Raw genomic sequence first — 22,455 nt, forward strand, 5'->3', positions numbered from 1 at the left:
TTAATTCCTAGGTATTTTATTGTATCTGTAGCTATTGTGAATGGTAATACTTTTTAAATTTCATTTTTAGGTTGTTTGCTGTTGGCATATAGACATGCTAATGATTTTTGTATGTTGATTTTGTATCCTGCAACATTACTGAATTTGTTTATCAGTTCTAACAGGTTTTTGCTGGAGTTTTTAGTTTTTCCAAATGTAAGATCATATCATCTGCAAACAAGGATAATTTAACTCCTTCCTTTCCAATATGGATGCCCTTTCTTTCTTTCTCTCATCTGATTGTTCCAGCTAGGACTTCCAGTACTTCATTGAATAACAGTGGTGAAATTGGACATTCTTGTCATGTTTCAGATCTTAGAGGAAAAGCTTTCAGTATTTTTCCCATTCAGTGCGATGCTAGCTCTGGGTCTGTCATATATGGCTTATATTATGTTGAGATATGTTTCTTCTATACCCATTTTTTTGGGGGAGTTTATCATGAAGGAATGTTAAATTTTATCAAATGCTCTTTCAGCATCAATTGAAATGATCTTATGTTTTTTGCCCTTCATTCTGTTGATATGACTTATCACATTAATTGATTTGCATATGTTGAACCATTCTTGCATCCTTGGGATAAATCTCAATTGGTCATGATGAATGATATTTTAATTTGTTTTTGTATTCAATTTGTTAGTATTTTGATGAGGATTTTTGCATCAATATTCATCACTGATAATAGCCTGTCCCTTTTTTAAAAAATATGTCCTTGTCTTTGTGGGGTTTTTTGGTTTTTGGTGTTGTTTTGTTTTGTTTTGAAACGGGGTCTGACTCTGATGCCCAGGCTGGAGTGTGGTTGCATGATCACAGCTCCTTGCAGCCTTGACTTCCCAGGCTCAAGTGATACTCCCACCTCAGCCTCCTGAGTAGCTGGGACTATAGGCATGAACCATCATGCTTGGCTTATTTTTGTATTTTTTGTAAAGTTGGGGTTTCACCATGTTTCCCAGGCTGGTATCATTGTGTTTTTGATATGTTTTGACATGTTTTGGTATCAAGGTAATGCTGGCCTTGTAGAATGAGTTTGGAAATGTTCCCTTTTCCTTTCCTTTTTGGAATAGTTTGAATAGGATAGTATTTGTTTTTCTAGCAAGTATTTGGTAGAATTTAGCAATATAGCCATTGAATCCCAGGGTTTTTCTTGCTGGGAGATTTTTCATTACAGCTTTAATCTCATTACTTGCTATTGGTCTGTTCAGGTTTTAGATTTCTTCATGGTTCATTCTTGGTAGGTTATATGTGTCTAGGAATTTTTTCATTTCTTCTAGCTTTTCCAATTTATTGGCATATAGCTGTTCATAGTAACCATTAATGATCCTTTGAATTTCTGCAGGATTGGCTGAAATGTCTCCTTTTTCATCTCTGATTTTATTTATTTGGGTCTTCTCTCCTATTTTTTTTTCATTTGTGTGGCTAAAGGTTTGTCAATTTTGTTTATATTTTCAAAAAATCGGCATTTTATTTTGATCTTTTGTATTGTTTTCTTCATTTCATTTATTTCTGCTCTGATCTTTATTATTTCTTTTCTTCTACTACTTTTGGGTTTGGTTTGTTCTTGCTTTTCTAGTTCTTTAAGATGAATCCTTAGGTTGTTTATTTGAAGTTTTTCTTCTTTTTTGATGTAGGCACTTACAGCTGTAAACCTTCCTTTTAGTACTGCTTTAGCTGTATCCCATAGGTTTTGGTATGTTGTGTTTCCATTATCATTTGTTTCAAGGAAGTTTTAAATTTTCTTTTAATTTCTTCATTGACTCAGGAGCATATTTTTAAATTTTCTTGTGTTTTGTGTAGTTTCTAAACATTCCTCTTGTTATTGATTTCTAGTTTTATTGCATTGTGGTCAGAGAAGATGGTCCATATTATTTCATTTTTTTGAATGTTTTAAGACTTGTTTTGAGGCCTAACATAATCTATCCTTGAGAAAGATCCATGTGGTGAGGAGAAGAATATGTATTCTGCAGCCACTGGATGAAATGTTATGTAAATATCTATTAGGTTCATTTGGTCTATAGTGGAGATTAAGTCTGATCTTTCTTTGTTGATTTTCTGTCTGGAAGATCTGTTCAATGATGAAAGTGGGGGGTTGAAGTCTCCAGCTCTTATTGTATTGGATTCTATCTCTTTAGTTCTAATATTTGCTTTATATATCTGGGTGCTCTAATGTTGGTGCAGATATATTTCAATTGTTATATACTCTTGCTGAATTGACCCCTATATCATTATATAATGACTTCTTTGTCTCTTCTTAGAGTTTTTGTCTTGAAATCTATTTTGTCTACTCTTTTTTGGTTTCCATTGGCATGGAATATCTTTTTCCATCCCTTTCTTTTCATTCTATGTGTGTCTTTTTAAGTGAAGTGTGTTTCTTGTAAAGCAACAGATCATGAGATCTTGTGTTTTCATCCATTCTGCCACTCCATGTGTTTTTATTAGAGGGTTTAGTTCATTTATATTCAGTGTTATTATTGATGAGTAAGGACTAACTCCCACCATTTTGTCATTTGTTTTCTGGTTGCTTTTTCCTCCTTTCATTCCTGCCTGTCTTCCTTTCAACCAAGATAATTTTCTCTGGTGGTATGATTTAATTTGTTGCTTTTTATTTTTTATGTATCTGTTGTATGTTTTTTGATTTGAAGTTACTGTGCAGCTTGCAAATACTATCTTATAACCCACGATTTTAAGCGGATAACAACACTGCTTGTTTAAACAAACAAGCAAAGAGAATAATAAAGACCAATAGTCTACTCCTTAATTTCATCTGCCAACTTTTAAACTTTTTGTTGTTTCTGTTTATATCTCATTTTACCGTCTATGTCTTGAAAGCTTGTTGTAGTTATTTTTTTATTGGTTCATCTTTTTAGTATTTCTACTTAAGATTGGAGTAGTTAAGTCTACACTTACAGTGTTATAATATTCTGTGTTTTTCTGTGGCGTTACTATAATATTACCAGTAAGTTTTGTACCTTCAGATGATTTCTTCTTGCTCATTACTGTTCTTTTCTTTCTGATTGAAGTACTGTCTTTAGCATTTCTTGTAGTACAGGTCTAATGTTAATGAAATCCCTCAGCTTTTGTTTGTCTGGAAAAGTATTTCTTTTTCATACTTGAAGGACATTTTTGCCAGATATACTATTCTAGTGTAAGAGTTTTTTTACATAAGCACTTCAAATATGTTATGCCACTCTCTCCTGGCCTGTACAGTTTCCACTGAAAAGTCTGCTGCCAGACTTATTGGCACTTCATTGTATGTTACTTGTTTCTTTTCTCTTGCTGCTTTTTGAATCTTTCCTTTATTTTTGATCTTTGGGAGTTTGATTATTAAATGCCTTGAGATGTTCTTCTTTGGGTTAAATCTGATTGGTGTTATATAATCTTATATTTGGTTATCAATAACTTTCTGTGGGTTTTGGAAGTTCTGTGTTATTCCTTTGGATAAACTTTCTATCCCTATCTCTTTCTCTAGCTCCTTTTTAAGGCCAATAACTCTTAGGTTTGCCCCTTTAAGGCTAATTTCTAGATCTTCTAGGCATACTTTATATTTTTTTATTCTTTTGTTTCCTCTGACTGTATATTTTCAAGTAGCCTGTCTTCAAGCTCACTGATGCTTTCTTCTGTTTTGATTTATTCTGCTGGTGAAAGACTGATGCATTCTTCACCATGTCAATTCCATTTTTCAACTCCAAAATTTCTGCTAGATTCTTTCTAATTATTTCAATTTCTTTGTTAAACTTATCTGACAGAATTCTAAATTCCTTTTCTGTGTTATCTTGAATTTCTTTGCATTCCCCCAAACAGCTATTTTGAATTATCTGTCTGAAAGGTCATATATCTCTGCTTCTCCAGGATTGTTCCCTGTTCCCTTATTTAGTTCATTTGGTGAGGTCATGTTTTCCTGGAAGGTCTTGATGCTTGTGGATGTTCATTGGCGTTTGGGCATTGAAGAGTCAGATATCTATGGTAGTCTCTGCACTCTTTCCAGGCATTTAAAAAGACTTGGGTGTTGAGATCTAAGACATATCTACATTAGGGGGCATCTCAAGCCCAGTAACACTATGGTTCTTCCAGACTCATAGAGGTACTGCCTTGATAATCTTGAATAATATTTGGAATAATTCTCTGGATTACCAGGCAGATTCTTGTTTCTTTCCTTACTTTCTTCCAAGCAAATGGAGTCTGTCTTTCTGTGATGAGCTGTCTGGAGCTGGGGGTGGGGTGACACAAGCACCCCTGTGGCCACCACCACTGGGACTGAGTTGGGACAGACCTGAAGCTGGCACAGCACTGAGTCTCACCCAAGGCCTGTTGTAACCAGTACCTGGCTACTGCCTATGTTCACTCGAGGCCCTAGGGCTCTGCAATCAGCAGGTGGTAAAGCCAGCGAGATTTGTGTCCTTCTCTTCAGGGCAGCAAGTTCCCCTAGACCCTATTCTTTTCCAGAGATGCCATCCATGAACTAGGGACTAGAGTCAAAAATCTTAGTAATCTACCTGGTGCTCTATTCTACCACAGCTGAGCTAGCACACAAGTTATGTGACACAGTTATTTCTACGCTTTCCTCACCTTTCTACAGGCAGAGGAAACTCACCCATGGCCATCACCTCCACAGGCCCAAGGGGAGTGCTGCCGGGCTACCACCGAGGTTCACTAAGGCCCAAGGGCTCTTCAGTCAGCTTATGCTGAAGGCTGCCAGGTCTGGGACTCACTCTTCAGGGAAATGGTCCACCTTCTGGCCCAGGGAAGGCTTAGAAATTCCATCTAAGAGCCAAGGCCTCTAATTAGGGGCCCCAAGAGCCCACTTGTTACTCTACCCCACTGTTGCTGAGCTGGTACCTAAGGTGCAAGATCAAGTCCTCTTTACTTTTCCCTCAGCTTTTTTCAAGCAAAAGGAGTCTCTCACCATAGCCACCATAGCTGGGACTGTGCTGGTTCACATCTAAAGCCAGCATATCTCTGAGTCTTACCCAAGGCCCATGGCAAGTACTGCCTGGGTGCTGCTGCTGATTATTCAGGGCCCAAGGTCTCTTTAATCAGCAGGTGATGATTCCTCCCAGGATAGGTCCTTCCTTTCAAGGCAGTGGATTCCCTTCTGGCCTAAGGTATGTCTAGAAATACTGTCTGGGAACTAGGGCCTGGAATGGGGGCCTAATGACCCTGACTAGTGCCCTATCCTACTGCGGCTGAGTTGGTATCCAAGTTGCAAGACAAATTCCTCTTTACTCTTTCCTCTCCTCTCCTCAAGCAGAAGTAAGGCTTCTCCTTTGCAGCTGAGGGCTGTGCTGCCTGGTGTTTTGGGAGGGGTAGTGCAAGCACTCCTGTAGTTGCCCTGGCTGGTGTCTCAGTAGGTCACATGTCCCTCATGTCCACTGGCTACACGCCCAACTCAGCACTAAGACTTGTGTAGGAGTTGCAGTCCTTATTGCCTAAACTGCCTTTCAAGTTTATTTAGGGCCCCAGAGCATTTTAGGTCATAATGATGAGACTTGCTGGAACTCAAGTTCTGACTGTTGGGATGGGCCATTCCCCTCTGGCTAGGGCTAGTCTCAGTGCTCCCTCAATGGGCAGGCATCATTTGAGTTCAGCCCAGTTTTGCTTTCTGTTGTGACAGGGCAGCTTTGAGTTCAATGCCTCTCACAATCACTGCACTGTCCCTCTCCCAAGTGCACAGATTCTCTCTCTGCACCTACGGCCATCGCCAGAGGATAGGGGTGGGGTGCCATCAGCAATTCAAGACTGTCTTTCTTGCCCTCTTCAGTGCCTCTGTCAGCAATATGAAGTTAAAACCAGGCACTGTGAGTGCTCACCTGATTTTTCATTCTTAGGAAGGTGCTTTATTTTATATTATTTCTTTCATGACTGCCTTGCCTGAAGAAAGATGCTTTTTATGTATAGATAGTTATTAAATTTGGTGTTCCTCTCTGGGGACAATCAGTGGAGCCTTCTATTCACCCATATTGCTCTGCCCTCTCTCTCTGATTTTTTTTTTTGTTTTTTAAAAAATGGGGTTTCACTCTGTTGTCCATGCTAAAGTGCTGTGGCATTATCACAGCTCACTGCAGCTTCAACCTCCGGAGCTCAAGCACACCTCAGCCTCCCAAGTAGCAGGGACCACAGGTTTGCACCACCATGCCTGGCTAGTTTTTTAAATGTTTGACATTTTTTATACAGATGGGGTCTCATGTTGGCCAGGCTGGTCCCAAACTCCTGGGCTAAAGCAATCTTTCCACCTCAGCTTCCCAAAGTGCTGATATTACAGGCATGAGCCAATGCACCTGGCCAGGGTTTTGTAAATATGAGGATCATTTTTTCATTTGGTAAGACTCCCTCTTTCCTCATGGTAGTATTTGCACTTTAAGTATCCCGGAAGAGAAAGTACAAAATGCCAATAACAACATAGATAACTCTTTAAAATAAACATATTTTAATCACACAACATAAATCTACATACATTTGAAATATGTGTGAGATTATTCTTTTTCCCCCCAGAAATGGGGTTTTGCTATGTTGCTCAGGCTGGTCTCAAACTCCTAGCCTCAAGCAATCCTCCCACCTCAGCTTCCCTAGTAGCTGGGATTACAGGCATGCCCCACTATACCTGGCAGATTATTCTTTATTCCAGGTAGAAACCAAGTTTAGACAAACCTTGGTATGAAATTTCTGCCATTTCTGTGGATATATCTAAACTTCTTTTATTATTTATTTGTTTATTTATTTATTTATTTATTCATTTTTTGAGAGAGAGTCTAGCTCTGTTGCCCAGGCTAGAATGCAGTGGCATGATCTTGGGTCACTGCAACCTCCACTTCCTGGGTTCAAGCGATTCTCCTGCCTTAGCCTCCAAAATAGCTGGGATTACAGACATGCACCACCACACCTAGCTAATTTTTATATTTTTAGTCGAGACGGGGTTTCACCATGTTTACCAGGCTAGTCTCGAATTCCTGACCTCAGGTGATCCACCTGCCTTGGTCTCCCAAAGTGCTGGGATTACAGGCGTGAGCCACTGCACCCGGCCTAGTGATACACTTAAAAGAAGTTCTGATACAGCTATAGAGGTGGTAAGACTTTTATTCTAAGATTTTTTCTAAACAAAATAAAGCTAACCTGCAAATACAGTTTTAAAGATAATTAACACATATTGAAAGTAAATAACTATGTTTCTAAGGATCAGCTAGGCACTGTTCAGGAGAAAAAGGGGTGATTTCTGCCCTCCAGGGTTGGTGTCAAGGTTGAGTTGACAAGACTAACACACATGACCTGAAAAGTGTTGGCTGAATGCCATATTGGTTCAGGCTGTAGGTAATTGGAGAAGGGAGCGCAGTGTGGGATGAGGCAAGTTGTGATATTAGATCCTCACTTTCTACTGATGTAGACTTCATGCCAACTTGGCCAAGATGACCAAGTGAACTCAGCAAAGCTGAGAGAAACTGGGCTCCAGCTCTCATGATTTCCATCTATTCCAGAATAATAAATGTTAGATAAATCCTTCGTTAAGAAGTAACCAAAGACTTTTTTTCCTTTGGGGCAAATCTAAATGATTCCAATTTAGAAAACACATACTTTTTTTTCTGACAGAAGATAACACAAGCTTTAATTTTCAAATTTCCTCCCATGTTTCATGTGAAGGAGTTAAGGTCATGCTGCCCCAAAATATGCTGCTTTGGCATGTTAACTATTTTGAGCTGAAGGCACTTGAGAAAGAGCTGACGCAGGAAGGGCTCTCTGACCTCCCCTTTTCTATTTAAGAATAGGCCATAAAACTTCCCATGAGGAAGGTGCCCTCCTTATACCAGAAAGACAAGAAATCCTTATCACCAGAGACTGGGAATCGACATTGAAATGGATCTGCATAAACAAACTTAATAAATAATCCTTATATCTTACTAGTTTTACCCCCATTCATATATCTCCCAGTCATTTCCCCACAATTTATTACCTCCAGTCCAAACCCCTTTATCTTGTTATTTCTTCATAAATGTATAATTTCTTTGTCAAAAATGTTTAGAAAGATTTCTGCTCTAGTCACTTCTTTAGAGCGTCATGTGAAAGCCCATGTACATGTAAAAATTTAATAAAGCTTGTCTACTTTTCTCCTGTTTATCCATCTTATGTCTGTTTAATTCTTAGTCCCAACCAGAGAATCTGAGAAGGTAGAGGATAATGTGTTTCCTCCTCAACAGATGTAACACGTTATTTTATGTTATTAAATATACTATTAAGACCATTGTAATTCAATATAGAAAGGTAGAAAAGAAAGGAAAGAAGGAAAAACTAGAACCTAAATGCTTATCTCCAAGGGTACGAGTAAATAAAATGCAGCAAATGCATACAATAGAATGTTATGCAACAGTTTGAGATAGAAATACATGTGCTATATTGACAAAGACCTCCAATACATATTAATTGAAAACAGCAAGCTGCTAATTAACACAGGGCATATAAATTCATTGATATTAAAAGACACACACAGACAGACACACATACACACACCTCACAGAACAAAAATATATATTTCTGTATGTATCTAGTATTCATTTATTTACAAAATCACCTAGAAGAAACTCTGAAAGACATGCCCCCAAATGGCAACAATCTCTGGGAAGTATGGCATTGGGAGGCAGGATGCAAATATACATCTCTATTATTTAAAGACTTCCCATCCTTTGAGCTGGAGCTGCAAGGTAAAAATAATAACAAATAAATAACAAAAAAGATTTCCCAATAGATATTCATGTATTTCCCTGTCTTTCTTAGGGTCAAAATCAAAGAGGGCTGGGTACAGTGGCTCATGCCACTAATCCCAGCACTTTGGGAGGCCAAGGTGGGCAGATCACTTGAGCTCAGGAGTTCAAGACCAGCCTGGGCAACACTGATGGTGGCGGTGGCCTGCCTGGAGTAGCCACTGTGAGGATACCAGCTGCAGGGAGGGAGGCATAGCCAGGGCTGCATGCACCACGGAACCGGCGGGGCCGGGAACAGCTGATCCCAGCAAAAGCCCCATGCCCTACGGAGTTGGTTGGGTGGTTGGGTGGGAGCCCATGCTCCCGGGTGCAGCTGCAGCCGCCCAGCCATGGCTCTGGACCCAGGCATGCCTGTACTCTCAGGGCCCTGGGAAGCCCTGCAGGCTCTCACTCCCTGTCCTCTTCCCGCTCTCAGCACCCGCCCCCATGGCAGAGCAAAGCTGCGGACGTATCCTGTTAACTGAGCCCAGGTGCTGTTGTGACCCGGCCAGGTGTGCACACACTTGGGGCAGCACTGACACACCACCGCCCTGCCACCGCCACCTCAGCCCCCTCCAGAAACTGGTTCTGAGGCTGAAACTTTGGGTGCCAACGAGTACGGGAGGGAGGCCTGGGGGGCTGAGGGTGGCTTGGGGCGGGCCTAAGGATGCCCCTTGCGCAGACAGCCTGGGTGCCATGGATAGCATGTTGTTGGTGGTGGGCGACAGGCAGGTTCCTTCCGTGGGAAGGGGCGGGTCCCCTGGAGCCTGGGGGCTGGGCTATCAGTTCTGGACAAAGTCTCCCACCCACAGTGAGAACTTCCTTGATACCTTTTGGCAAATCAAGTGGTGCTTTTTCCAGGCATGCCCATGGACCAATCAGCACACACTTCCTCCATTTTGAGCATTTCCTCCATTCTGAGCCTGTAAAATCCCTGGAGTCAGCCAGACTCAAGACACTCAGGACGACCTGCCTCTGAATAGGAGCTACCCACTTCTGGTCTCCTCTCTCCTGAGAGCTGTACCGCTGCTCAATAAAGCTCCTCTGCCTTGCTCACCCTCTAGCTGTCTGCATAACTCCATTTTTCCTGGAAGCAGGACAAGAACCCAGGACCCGCTGAATGGCAGGAGCAAAAGGAGCTGTAACACTTTCCTAGCTGGCTCCCGAGCTGTGGCAGGAGCTAAAGGGGCTGTAACACTATAGCCCTTCTGCCCTCCATGGGCACCAGGCAGCTGTCCCATGTGACAGGAAGCAGTGGTGGGGTGGGGCCAGCCCAGGAGCCCCGAGCTGAAGCAGGGCAGTGGGACTGAAAGAGCCGCAACACAAACGGGCTGAAACACCCTCCCCACCTTCCCCCGCCCCCAACCCCCGTCACCCCACCTCACCTTACTGGGACGAGGAGGAAAGAAGAGAGGGCTCTCCTTCTGGGAGCCCAGACCTCAGGGCTCCCTGAGTCAGAGCTCGACATGCTGTAATACTCTTTTTGGGACTCTGCGGTTCCTGGCATCTCTGAGCTTTTGGGCGCCACCTGTTCCCCTCGTCCAGACACTGGTGCCTGCAGTGGAAGCCCATTGCAATACATCTGGTCTAGCCGCATCCTCGCACAGAGCCAGTGCTTGTGTTGATGCCTGGAGCTTCCTGCCCTGCCACAGCAGCCAGCCTGCCTGGCTATGCACAGTGGCCAGACTCCACGCTCGCTCGCTGACACAACCCACACCCCTGCCACTTCATGCCTGGCTTGCTCTTGGCATGCATGGGATCCAGGCTGGTAGCACCAGCCAAGATCAGCCTGCCAGGCCAAGTGGGCGATCCCAGTGAGCATAAGCAAAACTCAAGCATAAGTGCCACCAGCCACAGACGCTTCTGGCTGGTGAAGCCACACCCTAAGGATCCTGAGACAACATGGCAAAACCCAGTCTCTACCAAAAATACAAAAATTAGCTGGATGTCGCCTGTATTCCCAGCTACTCAGGAGGCTGAGGCAGGAGGATTGCTCGAGCCAGGAGTTGAGGCTGCAGTAAGCCATGTTCACGCCACCATACTCAAGCCTGACAGACCGTTCTCCAAAAAAAAAAAAAAAAAAAGAATCAAAAGATCTGCACAATCTGTATTCTCTACCCCCTACTTCTCTGATCTCATTTTCCCTTTTACTGATTGATTTTATTTTCCCTTTTACTGATTCCCTACCCATACTTCTCAGATCTCATTTTTCTTTTTACTAATTGTAATCTCCTTGCTAAACCTCAAATATACATGCATTGATGCACCTTAGGGCTTTTGAAAAGGCAGCTCCCTTTGCGAAGAATGCTCTGCCTCTGTTTACCTATGTTGCTCATTAATTCACTTCCTTCAAGTTTTTCAAGTGGTAACTTCTCTGTGAGGCCTACCCTGACTTAATTATAATTCCCCCTACTAGCGTTCCCAGTCTGCCTCATCTTATGCTTGTTTATAGCATTACTCACCTTCTAACACATTATATAATTTGTTACTTACTATGTTTGTTTTTCTCCTTTCACTGGAATGTAAGCTCTATGAGGGCATGGATTTTTACTTCCTTTGTTCATCAGTGTATCCTTAGTTCTTAGAATTGTGCCCAGTATACCAGTCAGTGCTCGATAACATGTGCTAACTTACAAATCTTCACAAGAATATATTCATGTGTTTTGCATGTTTTTAAAAATCAAAGACTATGAATCAAATATAATCACCAATCATACAAACAAAAAGTTAGAATAAAATGTTTGAGAAGTTCCTGGGTTCTGTGGAACAAAGTTTGAAGACCTCTGGCTTAAAGCAAAATCAGACAGAGCTCACATTGATTTAGGCACACGACTTGCAATGCAAACTATTTTACCCTGGAACATCTATTTTTTCAAAACACTGGGAATAAACCAACCATTCCTAGGAGTCTCTGTGAAATCCCCAGGGATTGCTTTTTGTTTTGTTTTTGTTTGAGACCGGGTCTTGCTCTGTTCACCAGGCTATAGTGTAGTGGTGCAATCATAGTTCACTGCAGCCTTGAACTCCTGAGCTCAAGCAATCCTTCCACCTCAGCCCCCTGGGTAGCTAGGACTATGGGCACATGTCACCATAACCAGCTAATTTTTTACAAAAATTTTTGTAGAGATGGAATTTCCCAGGTTGTTCTTGAACACCTGGCCTCAAGCAATCCTCCTGCCTCAACCTCCCAAAGCACTGGGATTACTGCTGTGAGCCACCACACCCAGCCTCTCATCTACTTCTCTCTCTCTCTCTCTCGTAGAGGCAGTCTCCCAGTGTTGCTCAGGCTGGTCTCAAACTCCTGGGCTCAAGCGATCCTCCCACCTATCTCTTTATTTATTATCAAGATTCATAATTATTATTTACAAGCTCCTCAGCACTTGTAGATTTGACTTCTTGTTTTGCCAATTATATTATAAATTTCTCAGAGTTACTGGCCAGATCTTATGCTTCTATAGTCCAATAGTGAGATTCTGTCCACATAGTAAGTATTTAATCAAGGCTTTGTAATCAGCATTGTAAACCAAGTGAGAATATAAATGAGCCTATAAACATTACCCCAAGTCACACAGAACTTTGAACTTTGAAATACTAAATCTATTTCAGTGATTCTTTTCTGAATTTTAAAAGCGAAGCACCGGAACAGAACATTGGCAACTGACAAGTTTTCCTTGTTAACTCCAGATTTGTGTACTGAAAGGTGGTACAAACATCTAGGGAAGCTCGAATCAAAGCTAATATTTTTACTAGACAGACCAACCCCACCTCTGTTATTACCTGGCATATGCGTATGGCTGTTCATAAATGTTTGGGGTCTGAGAATCTAGGTATAAGAAAGTTAATGATTGGTACCTAGATCAGCTTGACAGAGAAGAAAGACTTCCAAGAGCACAGCGCTGCCTGGTTGGTTGGTTCGTTTTCAAAAGGCTGAAGATCTACACAACAAATACAGCAAACTTTATGTATTTACATAATGAAGCACTTGTATGTTTGTATATACCTTTTGTGGCAGAGGAGACCAAAGAAAATGGCATAAAGTAAGGAGAGGTTTTTTGTTGTTTTTTTTTTTTTTGAGACGAAGTCTTGCTCTGTCACCAGGCTGGCGTGCAGTGGCGCGATCTTGGCTCACTGCAACCTCCGCCTCCTGGGTTCAAACGATTCTCCTGCATCAGCCTCCCAAGTAGCTGGCACTACAGGCACGTGCCACCATGCCCAGCTAATTTTTGTATTTTTAGTAAAGACGGAGTTTCACCATTTTGGCTGGGATGCTCTCGATCTCTTGACCTCGTGATCTGCCCGTCTCGGCCTCCCAAAGTGCTGGGATTACAGGCTTGAGCCACCGAGCCTGGCCCAGGAGAGATTTTTAAATAGTAAAAATTATGAACAATCATTGTGCCCCACTATTAGACAATATGACATAAACTGGCATACAATATCATAATCATAAATATTAACAAGTATTTGACACATAGCATACATATAAGGTTATCTTAGGTGAAGAAAATCAGAACTTAGGCTGGGCGCGGTGGCTCACACCTGTAATCCCAGCACTTTGGGAGGCCGAGGTGGGCGGATCACAAAGTCAGGAGATCGAGACCATCATGGCTAACACGGTGAAACCCCGTCTCTACTAAATATATAAAAAATTAGCCGGCGTGGTGGCGGGCGCCTGTAGTCCCAGCTACTTGGGAGGCTGAGGCAGGAGAATGGCGTGAACCCGGGAGGCGGAGCTTGCAGTGAGCCGAGACATCGCGCCACTACACTCCAGCCCGGGAGACAGAGCAAGACTCCATCTCAAAAAAAAAAAAAAAAAGAAAATCATAACTTAATATGAACACATTCACTGATTTTGAAATGTAAGAAAAAATATGCATGAACTGGCAGCTATCAGAAATTAACTTGAGAGAAAGAAAATAGGGTGCTTTTTTTTTTTTTTTTTGAGACGGAGTTTCACTGTTGTTGCCCAGGCTGGAGTGCAATGGTACAATCTCAGCTCACTGCAACCTCTGCCCCCGAGTTCAAGCGATTCTCCTGCCTCAGCCTCCCAAGTAGCTGGGATTACAGGTATGTGCCACCACACCCTGCTAATTTTGTATTTTTAGTAGAGACACGGTTTCTCCATGTTGGTCAGGCTGGTCTCAAACTCCTGAACTCAGGTGATCCACCTGCCTCGGCCTCCCAAAGCGCTGGGATTACAGACATGTGCCACCGTGCCCGGCCAGGGTGTTTTTTTTGTTTTTTTTTTAAAGACAGGGTCTTACTGTGTTGCCCAGGTTGGCCTCCAACTCCTGGACTCAAGGGATCCTCCTGAAAAAGCCTCTGAGTGGCTGGGACAGCAGGCACATGCCAGCACACCTGGCTTAGAAATAGTGTTTTCTTTTGTTGTTTTTTTGTTTTCAAGATGGGGTCTTATTCTGTGCCCGAGGCTGGAGTGCAGTGGCGTGATCTATGCTCACTGCAAACTCTGCCTCCTGGTTCAAGCGATTCTCCTGCCTCAGCCACCTGAGTAGCTGAGTAGCTTAGCAAGCATGCACCACCATGCTCAGCTAATTTTTGTATTTTTAGTAGAGATGGGTTTCACAGTGTTGGCCAGGCTGGTCTCCAACTCCTGACCTCAAGTGATCGGCCCGCCTCGGCCTCCCAAAGTGCTGGGATTACAGGTGTGAGCCACCTCACCTGGCCAGAAATACGGTTTTGATAGTTATTACTGTTTCGTCCTCTATCAGTTTTCTAAATTTCATCACTGTCAGTATTTTTGAGTGAGAAAGAGGCAAAAGAATATTAGAAGAAATTCGATCAGTCAGGGAAAGAGATAGTTTAAAAAAGGAAAGCAGTAGAAAGATACTAAGAGGAAAAAAGCATATAAGAGAAGAGGGAAAAGCATAGAAACATTTGCTAAAAAAGCAAAACCTAGAGAGACAGGAAGCAATGACAGAAAGAGGGATATGTTACTGTGTGGGTTGTTTATTAACTTGAATGAATCTCAAATGTCTCACAACAACCCTACATGGTATTATAATCATCCTCATTTTAAAATGACAAAACCAAGTGACAGCATGGATTAAATAAATTGCTCAGTTATTCTAGGGGCCAGTGGAGGGAGATGAGATTGAGGCAACATCACTCTTTGTTGTTGTTGTTGTTGTTTTGTTGTTGTTGTTGTTGGGTTCTTAGAGACAGGGTCTTGCTTTGTTGCCCAGGCTGGAATCAGTGGCTCCATCATAGCTCACTGCACCCCCAATCTAGTGGGCTCAAATGATCCTCCCACCTTGGCCTCCCAAAGCACTGGGATTACAGGTATAAGCCACTGTGCCTGGCCTGATTTCATGCTCTAAAGCATTTTTTTCACCACCTCTTATGCAAACATGTAAACATTCCAAAAGATAAGTTTCCATCATCCTTTCAAATAGTGACAACTGATTCAGCAATTTAACATAAATCTATTTGCCTTTGTTCTAATATACTTTAATTTTTTAAAAATAATCACTTATTTGTTTGTTTGTTTATTTTTGAGACAGAGTCCTGCTGTGTCATCGCCCAGGCTGAAGTGCAGTGGCATAGTCTCGGCTCACGGCAACCTCCACTCTCAGGTTCAAGTGATTCTTATGCCTCAGCCTCCCAAGTAACTAAGATTATAGGCATGTGCCACCATGCCCAGCTATTTTTTTTGAGATGGAGTCTCGCTCTGTCGCCCAGGCTGGAGTGTAGTGGAGCAATCTCGGCTCACTGCAACCTCTGCCTCCCAGGTTCAAGTGATTCTCCTGCCTCAGCCTCCCAAGTAGCTGGGACTACAGGTGCATGCCACCATGCCTGGCTAATTTTTGTATTTTTAGTAGAGACGGGGTTTCACCGTGTTAGCCAGGATTGTCTCAATCTGTTGACCTCGTGATCCACCCACCTCAGCCTCCCAAAGTGCTGGGATTACAGGCGTGAGCCGCCGTGCCCAGCCTTGTATTTTTAGTAAAGACTGGGTTTCACTATATTGGCCAAACTAGTCTCTAACTCCTGGCCTCAAATGATCCATCTGCCTCAGCCTCCCGGAGTGCTGGGATTATAGGCATGAGCCACCACACCCAGGCTAGACTTTAATTTTTAAGTAATTTTTTTTTCCCCAAAGAAATTCTAAAGGTTTTCATCTTTGGAAAAATGGCAGTGTGCTCTTTCACCTACACCAAAGAGAATGGTAGAGCGTATTCGTTCACTTCTTCATTCATAAATTGCGTGCCTATGTGCAGAACTGTGATCGGTACCCTGTGTATATGACAGAATAAAACACACCTGGACACCTGGCTCCCATTCTCCAAGAACTTACTCAGTGACTTTTAGGGGTTAATTTGGAAGATGTTCACTGGTTTAGCATCTAATAAACTGTGTAATTTTGAAAACAAGGGGCTAGATTAGAAAACCCAACATTAATATTATCTGACTTTTAAAATGTGGATGTTGGGACAGGGATTCTCTCTAATGAGCTTGGGTTTGGGCTTTGGGTTAGACAGGCTGCTCACATTTCTTTGATCCTTAAGAGCAGGCATGGTGTCAGGGAAATATCACAGTGTGAAGATCTTCTTGGCAGGACCTAAGAAGACTCTTAGATTTGTATCTTCTTACGTTATCATCATTTCTTACTTCAAGCATCAATGTCATATTTTGTCAGCTGTGCTGCAAAACTTTCTAGAACTGATTGAACGAGAGCTTCAAACAATGCTGGGCCCACCTACTCCATTTAGTTCTAATTGGAGAAATCTGAGGACCTCATTCTTCTTAGCAACACAGTGATTTTAACTTTTTCCGTGATTCATTTTTTTGGAAGGCTGCCTTCTCAAGTTTCAAAAAAGGCTCAGGAATTACATAACTCTTCTCTATTCTAAGTTTATCACTCAGATCCATTGAATGCCTACTATGTGTCAGACCCTGTGGTAATTGTTAGGATTATATAGAAAGAAGACCTAGGCTGGGCGCAGTGGATCATGCCTGTAATCCCAGCACTTTGGGAGGCTGAGGCAGGCAGATCACAAGGTCAGGAGTTTGAGACCAGCCCGGCTGACATGGTGAAGCCCCGTCTCTACCAAAAATACAAAAATTAGCTGGGCGTGGTGGTGTGCACCTGTAATCCCAGCTACTCAGGAGGCTGAGGCTGGAGAATTGCTTGAACCCGGGAGGCAGAGGTTGCAGTGAGCTGAGATTGGACCATTGCACTCCAGCTCTGGGTGACAGAGCAAGACTCCATCTCAGAAAAAAAAAAAAAGAAAGAAGACCTAGTCCCTGCCCTTAAGGAATTCACAGTCTAAAGGAGAAGCAAGGGAAGGAAACAAAGCGTCATAATTCAGGGTAGTGAGTGTTCGAATAGAAGTAAGCATTGGATGTAGGCATACACAAAAGGGGAACTTAGACTGGGAGTCTTAGAACAAACATTTTGGAGGAAATGACATCTGAATTTTGAAGTTTGCCAAGGAAAGAAGCAGGGAGATGAGTTAAAGGGAGAGAGAAACAAGTGCAATGAATGGGATCAAGCTTAAGAAGTGTATTTGTCCATTCTCATGCTGTTGATAAAGACATACCTGAGGCCAGGTGTGGTGGCTCATGCCTGTAATTCCAGCACTCCAGGAGGCCAAGGTGGGCAGATCATGAGGTCAAGAGATCGAGACCATCCTGGCCAACATGGTGAAACCCCGTCTCTACTAAAAATGCAAAAATTAGCCAGGAATGACCTGTGCCTGTAATCCCAGCTACTCGGGAGGCTGAGGCAGGAGAATTGCTTGAGCCCGGGAGGCAGAGGTTGCAGTGAGCTGAGATCGTGCCACTGCACTCCAGCCTGGCGACAGAATGAGACTCCGTCTCAAAAAAAAAAAAAAAAAAAAAAAAAAAAAAGACATACCTGAGAGTGGGTAATTTATAAAGAAAAAGAGGTTGAATGAGCTCACAGTTCCAAGTTGCCAAGGAGGCCTCACAATCATCGCAGAAGGCGAAAGGCATGTCTTTACATGGCAGCAGGCAAGAGAGAATGAGAGCCAAGAGAAAGGGGTTTCCCCTTATAAAACTATCAGATCTTGTGAGACTTATTCACTACCATGAGAACAGTATGGGGGAAACTGCCCCCATGATTCAATTATCTCCCAACAGGTCCCTACCACAACACGTGGGAATTATGGGAGCTACAATTCAAGATGAGATTTGGGTGGGGATACAGCCAAACCATATCAAGAAGGAAACTTGTAAGTGGAAGAAATGACGCTGGAGCAGTGGCAGGGAATAGATTACGAAGAAAGTGTCTTTCATGCAATGCTAAAGAGCTTTAATTTTACCTAGAAGTTGCAATTGGAAGAATGTAAACATAAGCATGCTTTGATTAGTGTGTGAAGAATGGACAAAGGGTGACCCCAAAGGCAAGGGAAACCAGTTGGAAAACTCCCGTGTTGTAGTGAGGATGGAGCAGAGGAGACAAATTATAGACATGAAGCAGCAAAGGTTGGTTCCTGGGTTTTGCTTTGGGAGTCTGAGTGGGAGGCATTGCCATTCACCACGAGAGGCAAATTAGAAGGAATAAGCTTGGGTGGGAATTCCATTTTGGATATGTTGAGGTGTCTAGAGGCCCTCAATGGCCATTTTCAGTCCCTGTCTGGATATTTTAGTTGGGAGCTTAGGAGAGAAATCTTGGCTGGGAATAAAGTGGCAAGTCACCAGCATACAGGTGACAGGTGCAGTCATAACGCAGTATTGCCTTTCACAAGGACAGTACACACCATGAGAAGATGGTTGATGGTAGACAATGAGTGGGCAGGGGACTGAGAAGCAACTGCTGGATATTTAGAAGGAAAACCAGAAAAGTAGGGATGGGAAAGATAAGACTGCTTAATGAGAAGGGAGTGGCCAAGAGGGTTAAATGCTAAAGAGCTCAAGTAAGTTAAAACTAAAAAGAACCACTGTATCTAGCCAATAAGAGGTCAGTGTGGACCTTTGAGACCAATGTTTCACTGGTGTGGTGGAGTCAGAGGGTAGAATGCAGGGAATTGAGAAGTGAATGAGAAATGGGAAAGTGAAGCCATAATTGTGGTCAGGGAAGTCTAAAATCTAAGAGTTTGGTTAACTTTAGTCTTGGTCTTGTTTACTTTTACTGTGTTTTCTCCTTCTTGCCCTGACACATTTTCTACTTACTCTCTTCCTCCTGGTTTCCAATTAATGGCTGCAGCGTTCTCATGTTCCTTCTGGTATTTTTTCATTTACTTATTAATGTATAAGTACTTATTAACCTTATCTGACTTTTGCAGTGGAAAATAACTGACTTTGGGATGAAATAGGGCTGGGTTTGAATCCCTTGCTAGAGTCCTCAGGGGCTGCTTTTTTTGTTATCTACAGGAGTTTGAATCTATACAGAAATCTTCTCAAACCAGCCAGGGGCTGGGAGCTGAGACTGCTGGGCCTGAGGCAGCTCTTTCCTCCACTTCTGTCTCTCTCTGGGAAATGTCTGCTCTCATCTCTGCTTTTCTCTGCACTTAACAGTGTGCACGTTTTCTAGAAACCAGTAGGCCAGTTTGACAAATCTTTCAATCTTAGCTCCTTCCATTACACAGCTCAGGAGCCCAACCTTCTCTCAGCATAAATTTTTAAGAGAATATGGTTGTTGACTGGCCAAGGATTGACTTTAGGATCATGTAGTCCAAATAGCAAGAAGTGGCCAGGCGCAGTGGCTCACATCTGTAATCCCAGCACTTTGGGAGGTGGAGGCAGGATGATAACTTGAGGTCAGGAGTTTGAGATCAGCCTGTCCAACATGGAGAAACCCCATCGCTACCAAAAATACAAAAATTAGCCAGGCGTGGTGGTGCACACCAGTAATCCCAGCTACTCGGGAGGCTGAGGCAGGAGAATCGCTTGAGCCTAGGAAGCGGAGGTTGCAGTGGGCCGAGATTGTGCCACTACACTTTAGCCTGGGCGACAGAGCAAGACTCTGTCTCAAAAAAAAAAAAAAAAAAAATAGCAATAAGTGTCAGTTGGTACAAACATGGCCCCCAGACCAAACATTTAAGTAAGAGCTATGAGTAAGGGGCAGTTCCCAGAAATGAAGGTTTGAACTGCACAGAAACTGGTGTGGGATTTTGGACAAATCCCTCAGTCTTTTCAGTCTTAAATGCAGAGTGAAGTTAAAACTTAGTGGATGCAGGCCAGGGCACGGTAGCGCACACCTGTAATCCCAGCACTTTGGGAGACTCAGGCAGGGGCATCACTTGAGGCCAGGCATTTGAGACCAGCCTGGGCAACATAACAAGACCCCATCTCTACAAAAAAATTACACCTATAATATAGTCTTAGCTACTCAGGAGGCTGATGTGGGAAGATTCCTTGAGCCCAGGAGTTCAAGGCTGCAGTGAGCTGTGACAGTGCCACTGCACTCCAGCCTGGGTGACAGAGCAAGACTGTATCTCTAAAAAAACAAAAAAATAAAAATCTTAGTGGATGCTGTGTTGTGCGAGAACTCTTTCTCTAGCTGCTAGGAGCACTGCCAGGGGACAGCTCTCATCTGTCATCCTCTCCAGGTATTTCCTGATGGCAGATGGCAGAAGACAGTCTCCTTGTTCAGTCACGTCCTCTTTCCAAGGACTGTCTGCATCCAATTAATGCTCAATGTCAGGGTAATAAAAATCTGTTCCTCAGACCCCCATCAAGTGGGCACAACTCTAGGGGACATTGCAATTCCAGAGCTCCCTGCAGAGGACAGTGGGCCTCTGTCATGACATGACAGACCAAAGTCTCCCTCTGCCCATTCCTGCTTCTGTCCTTTCCCTGTCATATGTGTTGTTTCCAAGAGCATTACCTAATAAACTTCCTGCACACTAATCTCAGTCTGAGTCTGCTTCCTAGGGAACGCAACCTGTGACAATACCGTACCTCCATCTTACAATATTTTGGGAAGAAATAAATGAAATAGGACAACTCCTGGGACACCTTAATTGAAAGCTCTTTCTCTGAGCTCTTACCATGAAGTGTTCTGCTACTAAACTTTTTCTTTTTCTTTTTTGTTTTGAGAAAGAGTCTAACTCTGTTGGTGCGATCTTGGCTGACTGCAACCTCCACCGCCCAGGCTCAAGCGATTCTCGTGCCTCAGCCTGCAGAGTAGCTGGGACTACAGGCCTGCACCACCAAACCTGGCTAATGTTTTTATTTTTAGTAGAGATGGGGTTTCACCATGTTAGCCAGGCTGGTCTCGAACTCCTGGCCTCAAAAGATCTGCCCGCCTCAGCCTCCCAAAGTGCTGGGATTACAGGAATGAGCCACGGCACCTGGCCTTCTACTGCTACTTTTATTGACGCCTTCTGTTCTCCTAGCCTCTACGTATGTGTGTTGTAGAGCACTATTGGCTTCTTTACATTATGCTCCCTTCTTTTTTGTGTGCTCTGCAGTAACTTAAGATTTGCTCCCACATAGTATTTCCCTTTGGCTAGGGTCAACTTCATGAGTGTCAATCCTGTGTAGCTACACAGGGCCCAGCACTTGGAAGGGTCCCACACTTGATTTAATGCTCTATTCTTGCAATCTTGAAATTCCTTTTCCCTTTTTTTGAGATGGAGTCTGAAGTCTTGCTCCCTGTTGCCCGGGCTGGAGTGCAGTGTCAGGATCACAGCTCACTGCAGCCTCAACTTTCTGGGCTCCAGCAATCCTCCCATCTCAGCCTCCTTAATAGCTGGGACTACAAGCGTGCACCGCATCTGGCTAATTTTTCTATTTTTTATAGACACAGGGTTTCACTACATTGTCCAGGCTGGTCTCAAACTCCTGGGCTCAAACGATCCACCCATCTCGGCCTACCAAAGTGCTGGGATTACAGGCATAAGCCACCACACTGGACTCTTTATTAAATTCTTAATAATTTTTTAATAATGGCTCTGCATTTTTATTTTGCACTGGGCTCAGCAAAAAAAAAAAAAAAAAAAAGCCATGTTACTAGTCTTGCTTTTGGCTCCCTGCCTCCTAAGATGTGAGATAGATCTCCTGATCCGGGCTAGAACCTACCCTTGGTGTGTTACCAAAGGCTCAGTGACTTCACTGATTAGATCTCTGTTGCCTCCACATTCGCTTCACTTGTTCAGATACACACTGCTATCTTTCTGGTATAATTCACTTTCCTCACTTTTCCATCTCCTGACAAAATCTCTCTGGGAAGATAATCGACCACCATTGTCCCCAAGCCCTGCTACATCCACCCTGGTGTCTTTTACAGAAATGTACATAGGTCATAGGTTCTCAATACTTACCACTGGTAGACTGACTTTATTAGGCTTCCCTACATGGTCATTTCTAAGTCCTGTACTGTTTGGTCATTCTATCCACTCCTTCATACTTGCTCCCCAGTTATATTCATTTGGCTTGTACATTTATGTGACATATTCTCAATTACCATCTCTAATGTTCATTCATCTATTAGGTTAGAGTTTCTGGACTATCTTTTTTTTTTTTTTTTTTTTGAGAGACAGTCTCACTCTGTCACCCAGGTTGAAGTGCAGTGGCATGATCTTGGCTCACTGCAACCTCTGCCTCCCAGGTTCAAGTGATTCTCAGGCCTCAGTCTCCCGAGTAACTGGAATAACAGGTGCGCACCACCACACCCGGCTAATTTTTGTATTTTTAGTAGAGACGGGGTTTTGCCATGTTGGCCAGGCTGGTCTCAAACTCCTGGCCTCAAGTGATCCACCCGCCTTGGCCTCCC

At 43.1% G+C, this 22,455-nt stretch overlaps 1 annotated feature.

Annotated features, from left to right (window-relative positions):
* Positions 9,104–9,636: an enhancer, noted in NCBI's record as "H3K27ac-H3K4me1 hESC enhancer chr4:89165283-89165815 (GRCh37/hg19 assembly coordinates)". NCBI's record gives its function as "activates a minimal SCP1, AML or CMV promoter by ChIP-STARR-seq in naive H9 embryonic stem cells {active_cell/tissue: H9 hESC(naive)}" and the evidence as "EXISTENCE:reporter gene assay evidence [ECO:0000049][PMID:30033119]".

This window comes from Homo sapiens, chromosome 4, assembly GCF_000001405.40.
Source record: "Homo sapiens chromosome 4, GRCh38.p14 Primary Assembly".
NCBI lineage: Eukaryota > Metazoa > Chordata > Mammalia > Primates > Hominidae > Homo > Homo sapiens.